The following is an 18,627-nucleotide window of genomic DNA, read 5'->3' as shown; positions in this document are numbered from 1 at the left end:
AAGGTATTTGAAGAGTTCATCGTATACCTCCATTTATGTGTTTAAAACAACAATTTACTACCTCCTGACTCTGTGGGCTGGCCAGCTCGGTGTGGTTTCTCTTGGATTCTCTCATGTAGTTGCATCAGATGGCACCTGGGCTAGAGTCATCTGAACGTTTGGGCCAGACATCAAAGATGGCTTATTCACCTGGAGCTCATGCAGCACTGTCCACCAGAAAGTCCACATGTGGCATCCTCATGTCACTTGGGCTTTGCACAACATAGGGGCTGGGTTCCCAGAGGGAATGTTCCAAGAGGAAATATCTCAAGAGTCAGGAAGCAGCTGAGTGAGTGGCACTGAAACTAGCACAACATCACTGCTGCTATAATATTTTGGTCAAAATAGTCCATGTGCTTTCATCTTTAAAATGAAGTAATTGTTTTGTACTTTGAGAAAAAAATGCATGTATACATATCTCAAAGTGATTACACACACAGTTATCATATACATATGAAAATTTCCTTTTCCCATTAATTGAACTAGTTTTACATATTTATTCTCAGTCTTGTGTTTGTTTCAGTTAACAACACTATTTTTGAAAGTAACAAAATCACATTTGCTGTACCATAAGTCAGATTTTATCCATTAGGCTCTCCTTCACCTACCTTACTTTGCTCTCTCAATTCGAGATGAAATGTAGATTAGTAATTTTTGTCTAACTTCCCAAATAATTTTTTGGAATGATTGGGGCGACTTACATGGTATTAATTGACCTCTTAATAGAATGTCAAGGAAGGCAATTCCTATTGGCAAGGGGACCTCCAGCTTCATTGAAAAGCATTCAATTAGATGGGAAACAGATGCTTATTTTTGTCTTATAAGCCTCAATGCAGGTTATGTGGTAATTACTTCGAAGAGCAGGATAAGAATTTATGTAATCAGCAGGACCCTATAATTACTAATGCATAATTTCTAAACAGCATTTAGCAAAATGAGGCCCATACATACACTTTGTAATGAAAAAGATGTGTTTGACACAGCACTAAATTAAATTAAAAATTTGCATATTTTCTTTCAGGAAATGCATGAGCTTCATCTGCTGTATTTTGCTGGGCTAGTTCTGCCTACTTCTAACTCCCTTATAAGACCATGGAAATGCTGAATCACAGTGACAACTGAATGGGGGAATGAAAACCAGGAATAGAGAAGTGTTTCCTTCTCTGTTATTTAGGATGATAAAGCATCATTCTGAGAGAAGACTTGCAAAGCTACATCTAGGGAACCTCTGTCCACTGAGAGTTTAACATTAAGATTACACAAAATTTAGAATGCAAGGGCTAGCAGAGAACTTAAAATTATCTGCACTTATTTCTTCATTTCAGATGGAAAAACTGAGACCCAGTTAAATGAAAACAGCATGTGCACTATGAAGCAGTTGGTAGAAGGAGTGAAAAAGTACCCCCTCCCCACAGTCAGGCTCAGTCCCATGAAATTCATTCCACTATGGTAGTCAGATCATATAGTTAGTGTCAGACAAGCCACACACACCATTAGCCCCAGGAATATTGAACGTTTCTGTGGTCTTTTAAAATTTACATGTACATTTGCATTGCCAGTAGGTTCTTTTGTTTTGTTTTGTTTTTTTCAGATGGAGTTTTTCTCTTGTTGCCCGGGCTGGAGTGCAGTGGCATGATTTCAGCTCACTGCAACCTCCACCTCCTGGGTTCAAGCAATTCTCCTGCCTCAGCCTCCCAAATAGCTGGGATTACAGGTGCGCACCACTGCGCCAGCTAATTTTTTTTGTATTTTTAGTAGAAATGAGGTTTTGCCAGGTTGGCCAGGCTGGTCTTGAACTCCTGACCTCAGGCGATCCCCACGTCTCAGCCTCCCACAGTGCTGAGATTACAGGCATGAGCCACCGCACCCGGCCTGCCAGTAGGCTTTTAATATCTCAGAAGATGCATGAATTTAGAGTACCTTCTAGAGATAATTTAAGCTCTGTACATATTAAGAAATTTAAATACCAGTTATTTACATTCTGAAAGACCATTGATGAGATCACACACCTTGATGAATTCTTACCTACAGTTCCTGAAGTCATGTCAAGAGGATTACCAGTCTCTTCTTCAAAGCTTTGGACCTAAGATATCAAAATGCATCAATGTCATTAGAAATTTTGTCAAATAAATTCACTTATTTTAATCAACATATAATAAGACTGGCAACTGATAAGAGGGATAAACATGAGTTCCTGAACTCAAATAACTTGCAATCTGCTGGGAGGAGGTACCGGGGATGATGAAGATTCAAAGAATTAAAGAAGTTGAGGAAAGGGGAAGATCACAACTGGATGGGAGGATCAGTGCTTCTTCTGGAAGATGTGCATTTGAAAGAAATTTACATAATAATATTTCTATTCTAGATTTTTTTTTGCTTCCAAAGAACTTTAAGTATATTTGGAGAAAGTTAATTAAGGCTTGATAAATTTATGGAGAGTAATTCAGAAAATTTAATTGCTATATAGTGCTTAGACATTTTTCAAAATTTTAGTTTCCAAATTGCTAGAACAAAATTTATTTTTGAAATTTTTAAAGAAATTAATAAATACTTCTGTATTGATGAAAATAAAGTTATCATTAAACAAAATAATGCATATTACTTCTAAAATAGCAACACAGCTAATTATAGAAACTGATACATAGAAGAAGAAGGTAAAAAAACAGGGTTGGGCTTGATAACTCATGCCTATAATCTCAACACTTTGGGAGGCAAAGGTGGGAGGATCACTTGAAGCCAGGTGGTTAAAATCAGCCTGGGCAACATAGTGAGACCCCATCTCTACAAATAAAAAGAAGATAAGAAAACAGTTACTGTTACTCCAAAAACATTTTGGAGTATTTCTTTGCAAGTTTTCTTTTATATACATTTTTTCTGGATATTGTCACATAGTCAAATTTTTTCTCTCAAAAATTTGAAGGTGGAATTTTTATTCCACATAATAAGATTTCTTTGAAAACATCATCTTTAATGACAGGACAGTAGGCTGTTCTCAGGAAGTACATTAGTTTACTTAACAATTCTCCCACTGTTGGAATGTTTTCTAAATTTTGCAATTAGAAATAATGCTGAGGTGAATATTCTTGTTCATAAATCTGTTCTACATGTCATATTACTTATTTGGAATTGATATTTGAGTACAGAAAGCTGAATCAAAGGACATAAACATTTTAAACATTGTGGTACACATGGCCAAAAATGACCTCTAACCCAGGAATAGACTAGGGACCATGAGAATATAGCTCAACCATAACAAGAAGAAATATTTAATTTCTCTTTTTAATCCTTCACATCTTTTTTTTTCAAATCAGTTACTTTACACTTGTAATCTATTAGACATACTTCTTAGCATTATTTTCACTGGTGTTGGTAACTGAAGTCAGTGCACATCACATGCATTTTCAAGTGTAATAAAAAGTTTTTGCTATGACCATTATCATGGAGAAAAATCCACTTAGGGCAATGTGAAGCACATGTTTGTCTTTTGAAAAAAAAGGAAAAGCCCCATTAATTTAAAATGAAAGCCAGGTGTATTCCTGGGCTATTCCACCTGAGCCACACTTATTAATTAATAAAAAATAAAATAAACAAATAGTTACAGCTTTTGAAACATTCCCCCACCTAATCAAGATGTTGACTGGGGTTGTTTAATAATATGGTTAATGTTCTCACATGTGACTTCTAGAGAATATGATGCTTATATGCAAACAGGAGGGAAAGCTAAAAATCATTTATTATGGATATGAAGAAGCATCCTACCTTGAGTTTACAATTGCACAAATTTTACAAGTATCAAATTCACTTAATGTATTTGGGAATTTAAAAAGAGAGGGGCTGACTCAATTTTACTGAGTAAAATTAAGCAAAAATATGTTGATTTTTCCATTAAAAAATCTATGCACAATTTTGTTGAAATTATACTTTTGAGAAGTGAGACAAACATTGCCAAATGCAGCTTTTAGTACGACTTTAGGGAAAGCATCATTGGTTGATCTGGAGGCAAAATTTGGCCAATCATACTTGAAATTCTGATAACTAGATATTTAAGTACATTGGCTCTTGTTTTAAATGCCATGAAAATCTGCCAATTTCACACATATTTTTCATTTCTTATAATTGGATTTTAAAATTTGACATTGAAAAATAAATATTAAATCTGGCATTGGCTTCTGTTTAAGATGCAATCTACCCAAGCTTCATTTACTCATCCACTGGTATTGAGTGAAACAAATATTTTTTCCCCAGTGAGAATGTAATATTTTATATGCACTTTTTATTAAAATGAAATTCGAGTAGTGTGTTTCTTTTTTATTATTTTAGGACTATCTCTGCCTTACATACACATACAGTCTCTCACACACACAAATCCTAGAACATAATAACACCATAAACAAAGACGACTATGAAGTTTGACAGAGTGTTCTGTTTTTCTGTGAAAGTCATCCTTAGATTAAATTAATATTGTCAAATTCTTTGGATGTTCACTCAATTAACAAATATTTGCTAAGTACCTACTATGTGCCGAAGAAACATGTGATTTTGTTTGCTTTATTTTGGTGTCTGAGTGTGTTTCTACTCTCTCCCCAAATACATACTAATAGGTAGTATTTTCTTGAATAATTGTAATTTAAAAATTCTTGAAAGTATACCAATCAAGGACTAACATTCTTTTCTTATTTAGTTATATAAAATTTATCAAATTTGATAAATTTGATGTTTGTCTATCCCTATACTCTGACATTTCGATGGCTTACTAGGAACTTTATTTTTCTCTAAATCAGTCTAGTTTGAAGCAGAAGAACCTTCAGGGACAATAGAGTCTGACGAGGCTTGACAATGGGTTGGAGTTTGGTGAAACTTTTTGTTCGGATCCTAGCTAATAGCAGATTGATTTAACATTCTTTTTTTTTTTTTTTTTGAGACAGAGTTTTGCTCTTGTTGTCTAGGCTGGAGAGCAGTGGTGCGATCTCGGCTCACTGCAACCTCCACCTCCCGGGTTCAAGTGATTTTCCTGCCTCAGCCTCCCGAGTAGCTGGGATTACAGGCACCCTCCACCACACCGAGCTAGTTTTTGTATTTTTGGTAGAGACAGGGTTTCACCATGTTGGCCAGGCTGGTCTCAAATTCCTGACCTCAGGTGATCCGCTGCCTCAGCATCCCAAAGTGTTGGGATTACAGGTGTGAGCCACTGCACCCAGCAGGCTTGACATTCTTTATAGTAATTTAACTATTGGCTTGGTAATTAAATAATCTTTGCAAGATTAAGTTTTTTAAAAATCCTTTTTTTAGCGCCTTCTCAGTTTATCCTCAAATCAGGGCATTTGACCAAAGGTATGCTTTTTTCTTCCTTTTATTATTATTATTCATTTTAATGCTACTACTTAAATTCAGTTTAACATTTTAAGGTTCTTTAATTTTTATACAAGGCATATATGTACACAACCATATATACATATACATAGATATTAGGAACCTTAACATCTACATATTTTAAAGTAATTTTTATATCTTTGTGGGATGCAGCTATGCCAATAGGCATATTCACCTGGCTCAATCCTATTCTTTTGAAATTATGGTTAAGCCTACTTTCTATGAATTTCTTTATCCTCTCGGCCCCAGGCTGGCTAAGAATGCCTTTACTTGCTCCTGGAATACCCGAAAATATGTCTGTATAGTGATGTAAAGTGTATCTGTAGGGCTGGCTCTGTGCCTACCATCTTATGGTTTCAGTGCCCATCCCTGCCACTTCTCTGTAGTTCCCTTTTCAAGGCAGATTCTGTTACCATTTCTGTGCCTGCCACATAGAGGGCTCAACGGAGAAGTAAGCCCACTTTGGAATTTGCATGTAAATATCCTGCCCTACTTTTAGATAATTTAGATGAAAGGAGAGAAAAGCCTTGTTCTTCCTTTGTAATTACTTATCTGTAATTATACTAAATAACACAGTTAACAACAAGTTAACTCCCAATCCTAGCTGCCATTATGAATAGACTGATGAGTGGACATGTATACGTATTTTTTGAAAAGAAAAAAAAACCCAACTCTGAGAAGTACAAGTGAGAATGTCACTTAAGTGAAGATAAAAACTAGTGTAAATGAATGAAGGTGGGGATGGAGGAGCAAAGAACATGTGTGAAATGAAGGTCAAGCTATGTGAAAATCAATACATCCCAAAGCAAACAAATAAAAATCACACTAACATCCTAAAATCAAAACCATACCCAAGTCCCTACAGCTTTGTCTGAGGCCCTGTGTTAGGCATTGTGGGGGAAACATTTCCCACACACACCCCCGGCCCTAAAGGAGCTGAGAGTCTTTTTGGGGAGACAGCATTGACACACACTCAATCTCTAACATAACGAGCTCACGCTGCTAAAGCAATGAGAACACAGAGGAGAAGTGGTTAAGGCAAGTTTCACTGAGTGGGAAGTAGTTGAACTGATCCTCGAAGAAGATAAAACATGAAAAGTTAGAGAATAGATAAAAAGCATACATACAGGTACATAAAACAATTGAGCCAAAGCAAAGTCAGAAATGACCCACGGATTCAACTGCGAGCAAGAAGAAAGGAAAGATACTGGAGCAAGCAGAGGCTGGTTTCCTACTAGCTTATTTCCAACAAAAGCAACTAGAATGACTTTAAATCACTAAACTGACTCAGAACACTAAGAAGTAATGCTGAGGGATTAAAAGATGAAGTGGTGAAATGAGGGCTGGAAAACAAGGGTGTCATAGTGAAGGTTATTTCCCTTAGGAGGCTGGTACGTTGGTGCAGCACTGACCTCTTCCATTTCAAATGAGTCTGGTCCTTTGCCTGCAAGATGAGACAAGCTCTTGAGCTTGTTAGTCTGAAATAAGTTCTCCTTCTGAGTTCTGCCCTTGACTGACCCCTCAGACACACAGGAAGGAGGAGCCTGCTTGGCCGGCATAGATGAGCAAGGCCACTGCTTGCTCAGAAGACCATGAGGAGGATAAGGTAGCAAATCATCACAGGCTTGGAGAGACTGATGTTCTACTGACAGAGACAAATGATTTTGCTTGTGGTTGATTGAGGTTGCTGCTAGCTCTGCTCCACAATCCCATGGTTTTGTAAAGGGAACAAAAACTTCATCCTTCACCTTGAAGGACTCTGATACCTCTGGGTTACAATCCCGCCTGATGTTCTGTTTGGAAGCTCTCCTTAAGAGTTTACCCATTCTTCTTCGATGCTCTTTGGCGGCACTCACTGAGGTTCTTTGCACACTCTCTCCTCCAGCTTTCTCTTCAGCTCTGTTTGGCAGGATGCTGACATCACTCAGCAGAGATGAGAAGGCATTGGTCACATGGTCCAGGATTTCCAGCTGTCGGAAACGACCTGCACAACACAAGAAACACGAAAGTTTCAGATTGGGTCTTTTTTGCTGAAACCATATTAACGTAGTCAAAACTGAAGGGTCCGTTAACATGAAATTTTCAAGATAGGAAGGACATTAGGCTCTTGAAACTCAAGTTTTTCTCAGTATATGCCATTACTATTATGGAGATGATTTCCCTACGTAATGAGATTTTGCTGTGTTATGGGGAAAGTGAACAGCTTTTGTATTTAGTTGAATACGCATAACTATTTAGATTCATATATGCCTATAGTTTTTATGTGTTAGGTATTAAAAACGGTAGGCATCGGTGAATCTGTGTACTAACATATATTAAGCAGTGAATCCAGTGCTATCAACATGAGGCTACCTGAATATTCCTCCATAACTCTATGTGATGTGTATTCCTACCATCACTTACATCATCCCTATCCATACTGTCACCTGATAGTGTGGAAAGATCATGGCATATAGAGTCAGAAGTCCTGGATCCAAATTCCAGGTCAACCATTCACTGGATGTTTGAGCTCAGAATAAAATAACTAAGAGCTACACAGTGCTAGAGCCATGCCAGGCACATAGTAAATGGCCAGTATTTTCATGTCTCATGTATTTTTCACATCTGTCATGAGCACTAAAGCAAAATTGTGAAGACACGATGCCATGTAAGTATCAGTTGTTAAAATAATGATTATAAACGAGCAAGACTTAGGAAGGGGATATATTCTCCTCAGTCTTTCCAGAGAAGATAGTCATTAATGTAAAAACCTATTTGCCCTTCAAAACAAACCAGCTCATCAACCTGTTAAGTCTTTCTGGATGATCTGGCCTCTATCATTTGGGCCATATGCAAGTACAGTATTGACTTAATTAGCATGTGGAAGAGACCTAATGCAGCAAGGGCTAAAGTGAGAACATATTGCCAGTTTGAAAAAAAAAAAAAGTGGAAAATATTTTTGGTATCTCAAGATAATAAAATCATTGTAACAAAAATGGAATATTTTGTTTTTATTACCCAGCCTCCTCTTAATCACAGTGATAGCATGTGGGGTTGCATAACTCAGCGAAGGTCAAGGACCACATAAGTGGGCAAGGATGCTGTCTTTTGTTGTGTTTGCATCATCACAGCAACGTCCCTGACTCTCATGAGCCAGTGCCTACCTTTTTCTTTTACCTACAAGAAGTAGTATTGACTAATCATCCTTCTACTCCAAAAAAAGTGACAGATTTCTCACAGAGGACTGTGATATTTTTCCAAGACCTATAGGAACTGTGGGGTTCTGGATGTTTCAGAATAATTCTGATTACATTTCCCCCCTAAATTAAGCTGTAGTTGAAACTGAATCTCTTTTGCGATCAGAGGGTACAATTGAATGATAATTCAACTTTTATGATTGCTTTACATCCATCCAAAGCAGGTTTTTAAATTTAGACTAAGACAAAACCTACCAATTTAATTGGTTAAGTCAATTCAGAGAACACAATAGTCTGAAGCATTGGATAAGTGTTTTCTTTTATTTTTGCCTTTGGGTAGATTGAACAATGGACTAATTGATTCTCATGTCCCAAGTTTAAACATTTGTATCGACTTTGAATGAGATATAATTTTCCATTCTATCTGCCAACTAGCTTTATTATTGGTTGTTTTATATTTGACCTTCTCTGCTTCCTTGAATCAAGTGTTATGTTGTAGAAATTAGAGTGCACCAGGGATCACAAAATCAGGGGCCAACTCCTAGTTTCTCTGTAATCCATATGTCAATTTCATTTGTGAAATATTTACTTCATAGCAGCTCAAATGCTATTCAAATATTGGTAAATGACATTATTCTCCCGAAATAAAGAATTGATCAAAGAATTTGCATCTCTGTGCTGCTTGCAAGAGGAGATAACAAGGAACAACATGAATTGAGTCTAAAAAGTAAAGAAATACTACATTGCAAAACCTTCAGCTTTACATACTCTTTTTAAAAAAAAAATATCATTCCTGAAGTTTTGAGACCCATTTTACCTACTTGAAAACGGAGAAACGGGAGCTAAAATGAGAACTCCAAGTGAAGTCCCTGTTCCAGATAATTGCTTGAGAAAAACACTTTGTCTCACATGACTTTCCTTTTAGTGAATTTGTTTATTTAAAAGAATTTATTTGAGAATCAGAATTTTGTCATTTCCCCCCTCCAGAATTCCTCAAACTCTGTACTATAGAGAAGGTCTTCCTCAATGCTTCTCCAAGAGGCCTTTTGTATTTAAGTGGTTTTGAAATGCTGCACTGCATCCCCTCTAGGAGGCTGAAAGTGCACCTTGGCATATTAAATCAATCCTGCAGTAAATAAACCTATTACGCTGCAAAGCATCTTTCCCCCAAACTGTTTTGAGCACAGTACAGGCACCCTCAAGAACATGCTTAGTAATGTCCTAGAGAAAAGGATTACATTGACCACCAGCTGAAGAAGTACAGCAACATGCCTGATTAGCTATAAGGTTTAGACATAGTTAAATCAGGAGGGATGGCAGATTAATAACTATCACTTACAGCTCAAGGTATAAACGATAGTGTTCTAAATCTCATAAATGAGGAAATTAGGGTTTCACCTAATGATTCATGATAATCCTTGTCAGATTCTGGTTTCTCTGCCTCCTGGGTGTGTGGCTACGGTACATATTAGTGCTGCTCACCATTACTGCCAGCTTTCCTCCTTCTGGGCAATTGGTAGGGTTGTACATTCCCACCCACTTGGAGTTAGGTGTGGCCATGTGACTTATTTTGGCCAATGAAATGTGAACAAGACCCGCTGTGTGTAAGTTAGGAGCAGAGGATGTAAGAGCTGAGTATCATTCTCCATTTCTATCTTTCGCTATCATTGCAACTAGTGAGGTTCCAGATTAGAGGCCGTGTTCCTGAGTGAGGACAACATGGAGCAAATAGATACTCCTTTCTCCAAAACATACACACCAACTCCCACTGGACATATAGGATGACCAAGAAATCCATCTTTTGTGTGTGAAGTCACTGTAATAGAGGGTTTGCATGCTACTTCACACAATCTCCTCGCCTACACTGTGGCCCACCTGCCCACTCATTCCCAATGCTGAGATGCGAATGCCACAGGCACCTCGCTTACCGTACAAGTTGGGGTTCTCAATGTCCATTCGCTGCTTTTGAGCTTCAAGAAAAACACGGATGTTGATTCCTCTGGCTGCTGAGCCACAACCAAGGAATCTGGCTGGGATTTGCATGCAGATGTCTGGCTCATCAGCACCAAACCCCAGATCCAAGAGAATCTCCACTGGATCTATCTCCCAAAATTCCAGCCATTCAGGAATGCTGTGGTAAAAAATATGAATATCTTTATCCAGAAACAGTTAACCCAACACCATTTTTTTCTGGTCACCTCATCCACCCAATCTCCCAGATACTGAGTGAAAGAGGATCCTAAATAGACAAACGGTGCGTGCACTAGCGTTCCTATATACTTACTTAAAGGACTATCTGGCACCCCCACTCAGGGACTGCTTGCCTGTACTTTACATCCAAAACTATGAGTTTACTTAACTGGCTTCCCATTCCACAACAGGCACATGGTAAATTATACAGGGCAGGGAGACTGCAGGACAGATACCAGCCAGAGGCAGTGCACTGACAACCAAAAACAAGTGGTCACTAAAGGCAAGAAATGAAACAGAAAAAAAAAAAAATCCCACAAAACTGTAAACAGTAGACTAAAAGAAGGCTATTTTAATAGAGCACCAGTCTGCAGCATCCTCAGCAACACAGATCTGTCCAGGACATCATTAAATGCAGACTACCAGGACTGATGTTTACAAATAATGACTGTAAGTCCCTAGGTAGAATTAAAATGTGTTCTGTATTATTTTTGTACTTGGCTAAGAAACAAAAAATGCTTTTACCAACTCATTCTAGTCCACTTTGGCACTTTAAATGATAAACATCAATTAGCTGGAAATTATATTTATAATTTTTATTAAAATTTTATATATATTTTTAATTTGATTTGTATATATAAATATCTAAATTATTTAATTTTGTTATAATTATAGACATATTACAATTCTATATTTAATTGTTATATTTATAAATATAAATAGTTATATTATGTATGCCAATTCATGTCTGAACTTTGCCTAAGTTACTGAGCTAACCCAGGAGACTATGGGAGTCTTTCATGGATTCCATGGGAAGCAGACCTTTTGACGAGATTTTACCAGGTTTGCTCAGCTCTTTTGTTGAAGTTTTTGTTTGCCTTTTCTTTACATGCAACAATAATGAGCCTATTTGAGATAGTTTAGATAATTTTACTTCAGTGACTTCCTAATTGAAATTGGATTAACTACAATTCATTTACTTAGCCATTTACACATTCAACAACAGGTAGCTATCTCACTGGGGACGCCCACTTACCAGATACAACCAGCATCATGTTCACACTTTCTTTTTTTTCTTTAATTATTTTGTGTCTCTTTTTTAAAAAAAAAAAACTAAAATTTTTAATTGACAAATAATAATTGTGTGTATCTATGGAGTACAGTGTGAAGTTTTGTTCTATGTATATGTTGTAGAAATATTCAATCGAGCCAATTAAAACACCCACTACATCACTTGTGGTGAGAACATCTGAAATAATATTCTCTTAGCATTTTTGAAATCACAATAAGTTAATATTAACTGTGGTCACCATGCAGTGCAATTGATTATTGAAACTTATAACGTGAACTGGAGATGGCTCCATTTGGATATCTTAATCATGGGATTACCAGGGGAATCAGGAATGCCAATCACTTGATTACACTGACACAGACACCTGAATATAAAGAGGTTCAAGGAAGAAAAAAATTCTGGTGAGAAATCTAAAGTTGCATGAAAGATTTAATCTGTTATCATAGTGACTTCACTGTACAAATGTTTATCCTACCCATTTATACATATATTTATTGAATATCTGTCATGTTCTAGGTTCTATGCTAGGTACACATGGCTCAAAAATGAACACAGTTCCTGCTTTCCAAAGGCTTCAGTCTCTTGACCAAGAATATAAGTATTGATTGGTCATTAAACATATTTTCATATCATCATGAAAATATCATTAACTTTTTAAGTAATACTTAATGGTGGAAGAAATTAGATATACTGACTTTGTTAAAAAATTTTTAATAGTACACAAAATGCTTTCACTCCCCTCAATTATTACCCCCACCAATCCTGACCCTCTTCCAGTTAAACCTATGTGTATCCTTCCAGACATTTTCCTATGCAGTTACATACATGTTTTATGGTTTTCATTTGTTTGCTTTATGTATAGTAACATACTCTATATACCTTCCTGCATCTTGCTTTTTTTAATCTTAAAAAATATGGCATATAGAGCTTTCTAAGCCAATATGTGTATGTCTGACTATGCTTTTTATCACTATATGGAATTCTGTAAAATGAACTGGCCAATCACTCATTTGGCCATTTCCCCATTGACAGATATTTAGTCTGTTTCCAATTTTATTAACTCCTTTAACTCTTTTATATTGTTATTGCAAGATGGGGTTTGAAAATCTTTTATTCATTCTCTCATCCATTCATTCAACAAGTGCCTATTTATAATTTCATGAAATCCATTGTTGCACAGAATGATTTCTCAGGATGAAAAGCACCTGGAAATTACATACCTTTGTGGTACACTTGCAGTAGAATAGCAAGAGTTGAAACTGGTCCCTCTGGATAGGATGGGAGTTTCTGAAAACTGATGCAAAGATCTACAGTTGGGAAAATATCAACAATGAGATGTGTTGATTTAGATAGTCTCCTGGGAGGTCATTGTGAATCTTTTCCTTCCAGAGCAAACATTTGCATTTCCTCTTAGTCTCTAATAATCCCATAATGACCACACCTTTGCAGAAGACAGCTTGCAGTGGAGGAGCTGCTCCTGTTTTCAAGAGCGTTGTATTATAGAAGGTGTAAGAATTTAAGCATTAGGTGCCCGCTAGTGCTCATTATGAAGGTGACAGAATGTCTCACTTTTGACAGATGGCATATCATTGGGGAACCTTTCAGGAACACAGCTTTGCTAGGCACCAACTTTCAGGAAGAAGTTAAAATTATATGCTGAAAGAAGTACAGCCAGCCGTCACTGAAGTGACTCTACATTAATTCTCATACTAGTGAAGGATTTCATATCACATGGCTAACACTCTCTAAGTGCTGTCTCCAGGGCTCCTGTAGCCATCCATATGCATTTCTAACAAACTCCTTTACTATGGAAAAAATGAACATCACTATCCAATAGGCCTGCTTTGCAGATCATTTGAAAGTGCTTCCAAAGAGAGTGGAACCCTGTCATAATATAGTTCAGTTTTATACATATAGCTCAGCTATACCATGGATCACATCTAGCCCCATCAAATATAATAGCCAGTTGGCATATATTTAGAATTTATTAAAAATACAATGCAGATATCAATGTTCCCAAGGAGAACAAGGTATCCTACTTGGGTTGCTAACTTTGTTCTAGCTACATTTGGTAAGAATAGCTGGGCCAGGCATGGTGGCCACGCCTGTAATCCCAGTACTTTGGGAGGCCGAGGTGGGTGGATCATGAGGTCAGGAGTTCAAGAGCAGCCTGGCCAAGATGGTGAAACCCCCTCTCCACTAAAAATACAAAAATTAGCCAGGTGTGGTGGCAGGTGCCTGTAATCCCAGCTACTCGGGAGGCTGAGGCAGCGAATTGCTTGAACCCAGGAGGTGGAGATTGCAGTGAGCTGAGATGGCGCAACTGCACTCTAGCCTGGGTGACAGAGACTCTGTCTCAAAAACAAACAAACAAACAAAAAAAAACAATAGCTGGGCCCTGTCCTTTAATTGCTTCTGTTCTGTAAGGTTGAGAAAGTGTGTTTTTCTGGATAGTAAAAACTCTGCTGTTAACAGACAGTTGAGCTCCTTGAGCCTCAAGGAGAGGCAGAAGATACCCTTTCACTTATTGCCCCACCTCAGTTTTCATTAGGCCTGCCATAATTTATTTTTCCTTCTTTGTTTGAGGGCCACACCTTATTTTGGAAGGTGCAGCAGAGCAACCCAGAAGCAGCCTGCCCTTGGATCCAAGGAGAACCAATACAGAGTCACTGTTGTAATAAAGCCTGGAAGCACGAGTTGGTCACAGAACCTGGCTCTCATTTTCCTCTTCAACAAAGCGAGAGTTGCCTGAGAGATTTCTGTGGTCTTTTATAGCTCTATGATTCTATAAGTAGCAAAAACAACCAATCCTGCAGGAGAAAAATCTATGACAAATAGCATTTTAGGGGTGAATTGGTAGCAGCAGGGGGATGCAGTACTGCAGATTTGGTTTACGACTAGTTGGAATTATCCTGAAAATGCGAAGGTGACAAAAGCGCAGGAAGGGGAGTTCCTAACCTGAAAGAGCTCATAGTCTATTCCAGTGGTTTTTAAAAGAGTGTGGCTGAAAAAGTCATCTGAAGGACATGCACAAATACAGATTTCTGGACCCTACCTCCAAATGATCTGGTTCAGTAGGTCTAGGGTGGGGATTGGGAATTTGCATTTCTATGAAGGTCCCCCACAATGCTAATGCTGGTGTTCTGGGCACCACACTTGAGACCTAGTATTTCCTCCAATGAAGAGACTCTCACTGCTTTCTACCTAGCATTGGAAATTGTATATATTGTTGTCCAGTAAATAGAATAATAATCAATTACATTAGCCAAAATGAAAATATTGAATGCAACTGTTTTATAAACAGGTCCTTATGAACAGTTGCAGTACAGTAGAATGTCATTTATGCATATGTTGTAATTAAATTTTCCCCCACATCAACATTTGTTGATTTAATTTGCTCACAATTTTATGATTTTTAAGGAACCTCTATTTCTCTCAAAGCTGATGTAAACATTCTAGGCACTGTGACTAAACCAGTTACCTTTCACGAGATCCCAAGAGCTATGGCAATATTAAGAAAACTTCCCTACTTCTATTTTATTCAGCAAAGGTGTGGCTGCAAAATATTGGCATGAAGTAACACTGATTCTGCTACCTACCTCATGTAGTCTTTCACAGTCATTTGAACCATCCCTTGTTCATACAAAGAAACTGCAACAACAAAAAAAGTAGAGGGGAACTTTATTTCGTTTTATCTTGCGGAAGATTTTCTCAACCCCAAATGAAACCAAGGTAGAATTGAATTTCCATATCCAAGGTTATATAGGCATGAAATACAAGGCATCACTGCAGTGAATAGACAGAATGAAATTAATGGCTACATGGTATGACAAACACGTGAAGAAATGTACTGGCTCAATGGAGAGGGAAGTCAGTGCTAAATGGAGTATTCAGCAAAGGTTTCATGGAGGAAGTGGTACTTGTCTTGGATTTTTAAGAATGGGAGAATTTGATGGCTGGAAAAGAGGCATTGCCCTTAAAAGACACATTGCCCTTAAAGAGAAAAAAGATGTCTACAGAAAGTGCAAAGCAGAGTGCTAGGGGTAGTCTGATTAGCTCATAGGGCATTTAGGGATGCTCTCTCATGGTACAGGAAGTTGTGAAGTAGTGTGGGGACAGGCAAAAAATAATACATGAAGGGCCCAGCATGTATGAAGCATATTCCCTTCATTTGTATCATCTAATCCTTCCAACAGCCTTAAAATTAGAACCTATCCTCATTTTTCAGATTAGAAACTGAGATTCACAGAACTTTAGTAATGAGCCCATAGTCATACAGTCAAAAGTAGTGCATCTAGGAATTTATTCTTACCTTTATTATTGATTGCAGCAATAACATTGACTATTTAGCACTAACTTAGTGCGAGGCAATGTGCTAAGCATATTACACACACATTCTCTTGTAATTCTCACAACAAATCCCTGAAATAGATATTATTGATCTCCACTTAACACAGAGGAAAACTGAGGCTGAGAGAGATTAAATAAATTTCTCATGGCTAGTAGGATGCTGCAACTTATTTTAGCTTGTTGTTGTTGTTTCTGTAACACCACACTGCCAACAGAGCATCTTATAGCTTATTTGAAAGACAGAAAGAGGAGTGTATATGTATGTGTTAGGACATGAAAACCACGAAAGGTTTTTGAGCAAACAAGTAAATGTGAGAAAGATGATGCTGAATGTTCATTTGCCTGATAGCGGTGCTGAAGACAGAATAGAGGAAATAAATATTGGTTATCAGAGAGGCTTATTCAGGGGCCATTGCAAGATTCAGACCCTGTATCATGATATAAAATGTGGCTGACACGTGCAGAAGAAAATGCTTAGAATATGGGCAAATTCCTCAGAAGGTTCACCAGTGTTCTTATTTCCGCTTACTTGTTGCTCTCCTGGGTGCAAATGTGTGACGTGTGTGAAACTGGGAAGTGTTGCCAAGCTGTATTTCTATGAGAACATAAAGATTTTTACCATAAGAAAGATAATAGAGGTTAGGAGAAATTTTGGAAAAGCAATCCTGAATGATTTAAACATATGAAAGAATACTGAAGAGAATAAAGGGCTAGGGTTCTTGTCTGAGTAGAGGGTCTATGAATAGACGACAGGTACCTGTGAATTTGTCTCTAAATGCCAAATTTTGGGAGTGGAGATAAGAATACCCATCATTTTCAGAAGATTTTCAAAAGGCTTAGTGACCCTGTTAAATGGAAAAAGAAGACTGGTCTAGAAGGATAAAGACTGGAGATGTATTACTGACTTGCAAGTAAATAGTGATTTTTTTTTTTTTTCAGACAGTTCGCTCTGTCACCCAGCCTGGAGTGCAGTGTCGTGATTTCAGCTCACTGCAAACTCTGCCTCCCGAGTTCAAGTGATTCTCGTGCCTCAGCCTCCCAAGTAGCTGGGATTACAGGTGTGTACCACCATGTCCGTCTAGTTTTTTGAATCTTAGTAGAGACAGGGTTTCACCATGTTAGCCAGGCTGGTCTGGAACTCCTGGCCTCAAGCGATCCACCTGCCTCCATCTCCCAAAGTCCTGGGACTACAGGCATGAGCCACCACGCCTGGCAATAGTGGATTCTTAACTAAGCTCAGAATACAGGACTACAATTTAAAGAAGTAGTGAGAAAATAGGTACAGTAATGTCTCTGCTCTACAAAACAAATGTAACTATCATCATAAGAGTCAGGCAGGGTGACAGCTACTCAGGAGGCTGAGGCAGGAGAATGGTGTGAACCCGGGAGGCAGAGCTTGCAGTGAGCGGAGACTGCGCCACTGCGCTCAAGCCTGGGTGACAGAGCAAGACTCCGTTTCAAAAAAAAAAAAAAAAGAGTCAGGCGGGGTGAGAAATAGAATCGATTTTAAAGGTTTAAATAGTGAGTGGGAATATATACGGCCTCTGTGCTATCACTCCCAATGCTACTCCCATGGCAGACATCATTACCAATTTTGTCACTTTTCTTATCCCTTCTTCAGGAAAACCACTACCAACTGATTGGAATTATCACATAAGATTGAGTTATTTACTATCCTTTGTTTAGAATAAATTTCATAAGTGGAATTAAAAAAGAAACAGGGTAAGATGGGGTACATATAAACTTTAGAAGTTGAAAACATAAAGAGAATATATAAATGCTCATAATAAAACATTCTAGGGAGCCATGATCAAGGATGGAATATCAGAGTAAATGACCATTATTAGGAAATAACTGTGATGTTTCAAAAATTTTCCATGTGACATTTGGTGACAAATATTTATGTAAATTACAATAGAATATTTGACTCAAACTTATGCACCAGGTCAGAAATGAACTTAGAATCAGAACACCAGTCTTTTTTTCCCCTTTATCTTCGTAGTTTTAAAACACTAGGTTTTATCATAGGAATTCCACAATAATATAAAATCCTTTGCAAAATTCTAATAATTTAAATAAATTTAAAAAGAGCTGTTCTGAATGTAGTGCTCTTCCACTTAGCTCTTCCCTCACCCGTGAGGCACCTTCAGGAGCCAGAGTTTGAAAACTACCAAGTCAATACCCAATTCAGCTAGGCAGGCATGGCTAATCCATTGCGGCATTCTTGCTCACTGCACCCAACTCCATCTCAGAGCTTCTGAAACGCATAAAACCACTGCCAATTGATTGAAGTTGTCAGATGAGAGAAAGCCCATTTGCCACCTTATTAATCATGTCATAGATGCAAGCACCGTGTAATTTTTAGGTGATCATATTGTAATAACTTGATGCCACAATGAATTAAATAATAAGTTGCCTAAATGGAAGATA

At 37.7% G+C, this 18,627-nt stretch overlaps 1 protein-coding gene across 8 annotated transcripts in view; it reads right to left on the bottom strand.

Moving 5' to 3' along the window:
• ITPRID1 (ITPR interacting domain containing 1) overlaps positions 1-18,627 on the bottom strand; it is a 144,631-nt gene that overhangs the window by 73,465 nt on the left and 52,539 nt on the right. For 7 of the 8 annotated variants that reach the window (XM_011515213.3, XM_017011872.3, XM_017011871.3 and 4 more), the window contains 5 exons: positions 15,447-15,498; positions 13,068-13,154; positions 10,514-10,716; positions 6,822-7,393; positions 2,065-2,122 (listed from right to left, as the gene is read on the bottom strand). In XM_011515213.3, coding sequence (XP_011513515.1) covers positions 2,065-2,122; positions 6,822-7,393; positions 10,514-10,716; positions 13,068-13,154; positions 15,447-15,498 — 972 coding nt within the window. The remainder of the gene's footprint in view (positions 1-2,064; positions 2,123-6,821; positions 7,394-10,513; positions 10,717-13,067; positions 13,155-15,446; positions 15,499-18,627) is intronic. The other variant, NR_047565.3, reaches the window with a different exon arrangement.

This window comes from Homo sapiens, chromosome 7 (assembly GCF_000001405.40).
Source record: "Homo sapiens chromosome 7, GRCh38.p14 Primary Assembly".
Lineage (NCBI taxonomy): Eukaryota > Metazoa > Chordata > Mammalia > Primates > Hominidae > Homo > Homo sapiens.
This window is presented reverse-complemented; position numbering and strand designations above follow the sequence as displayed.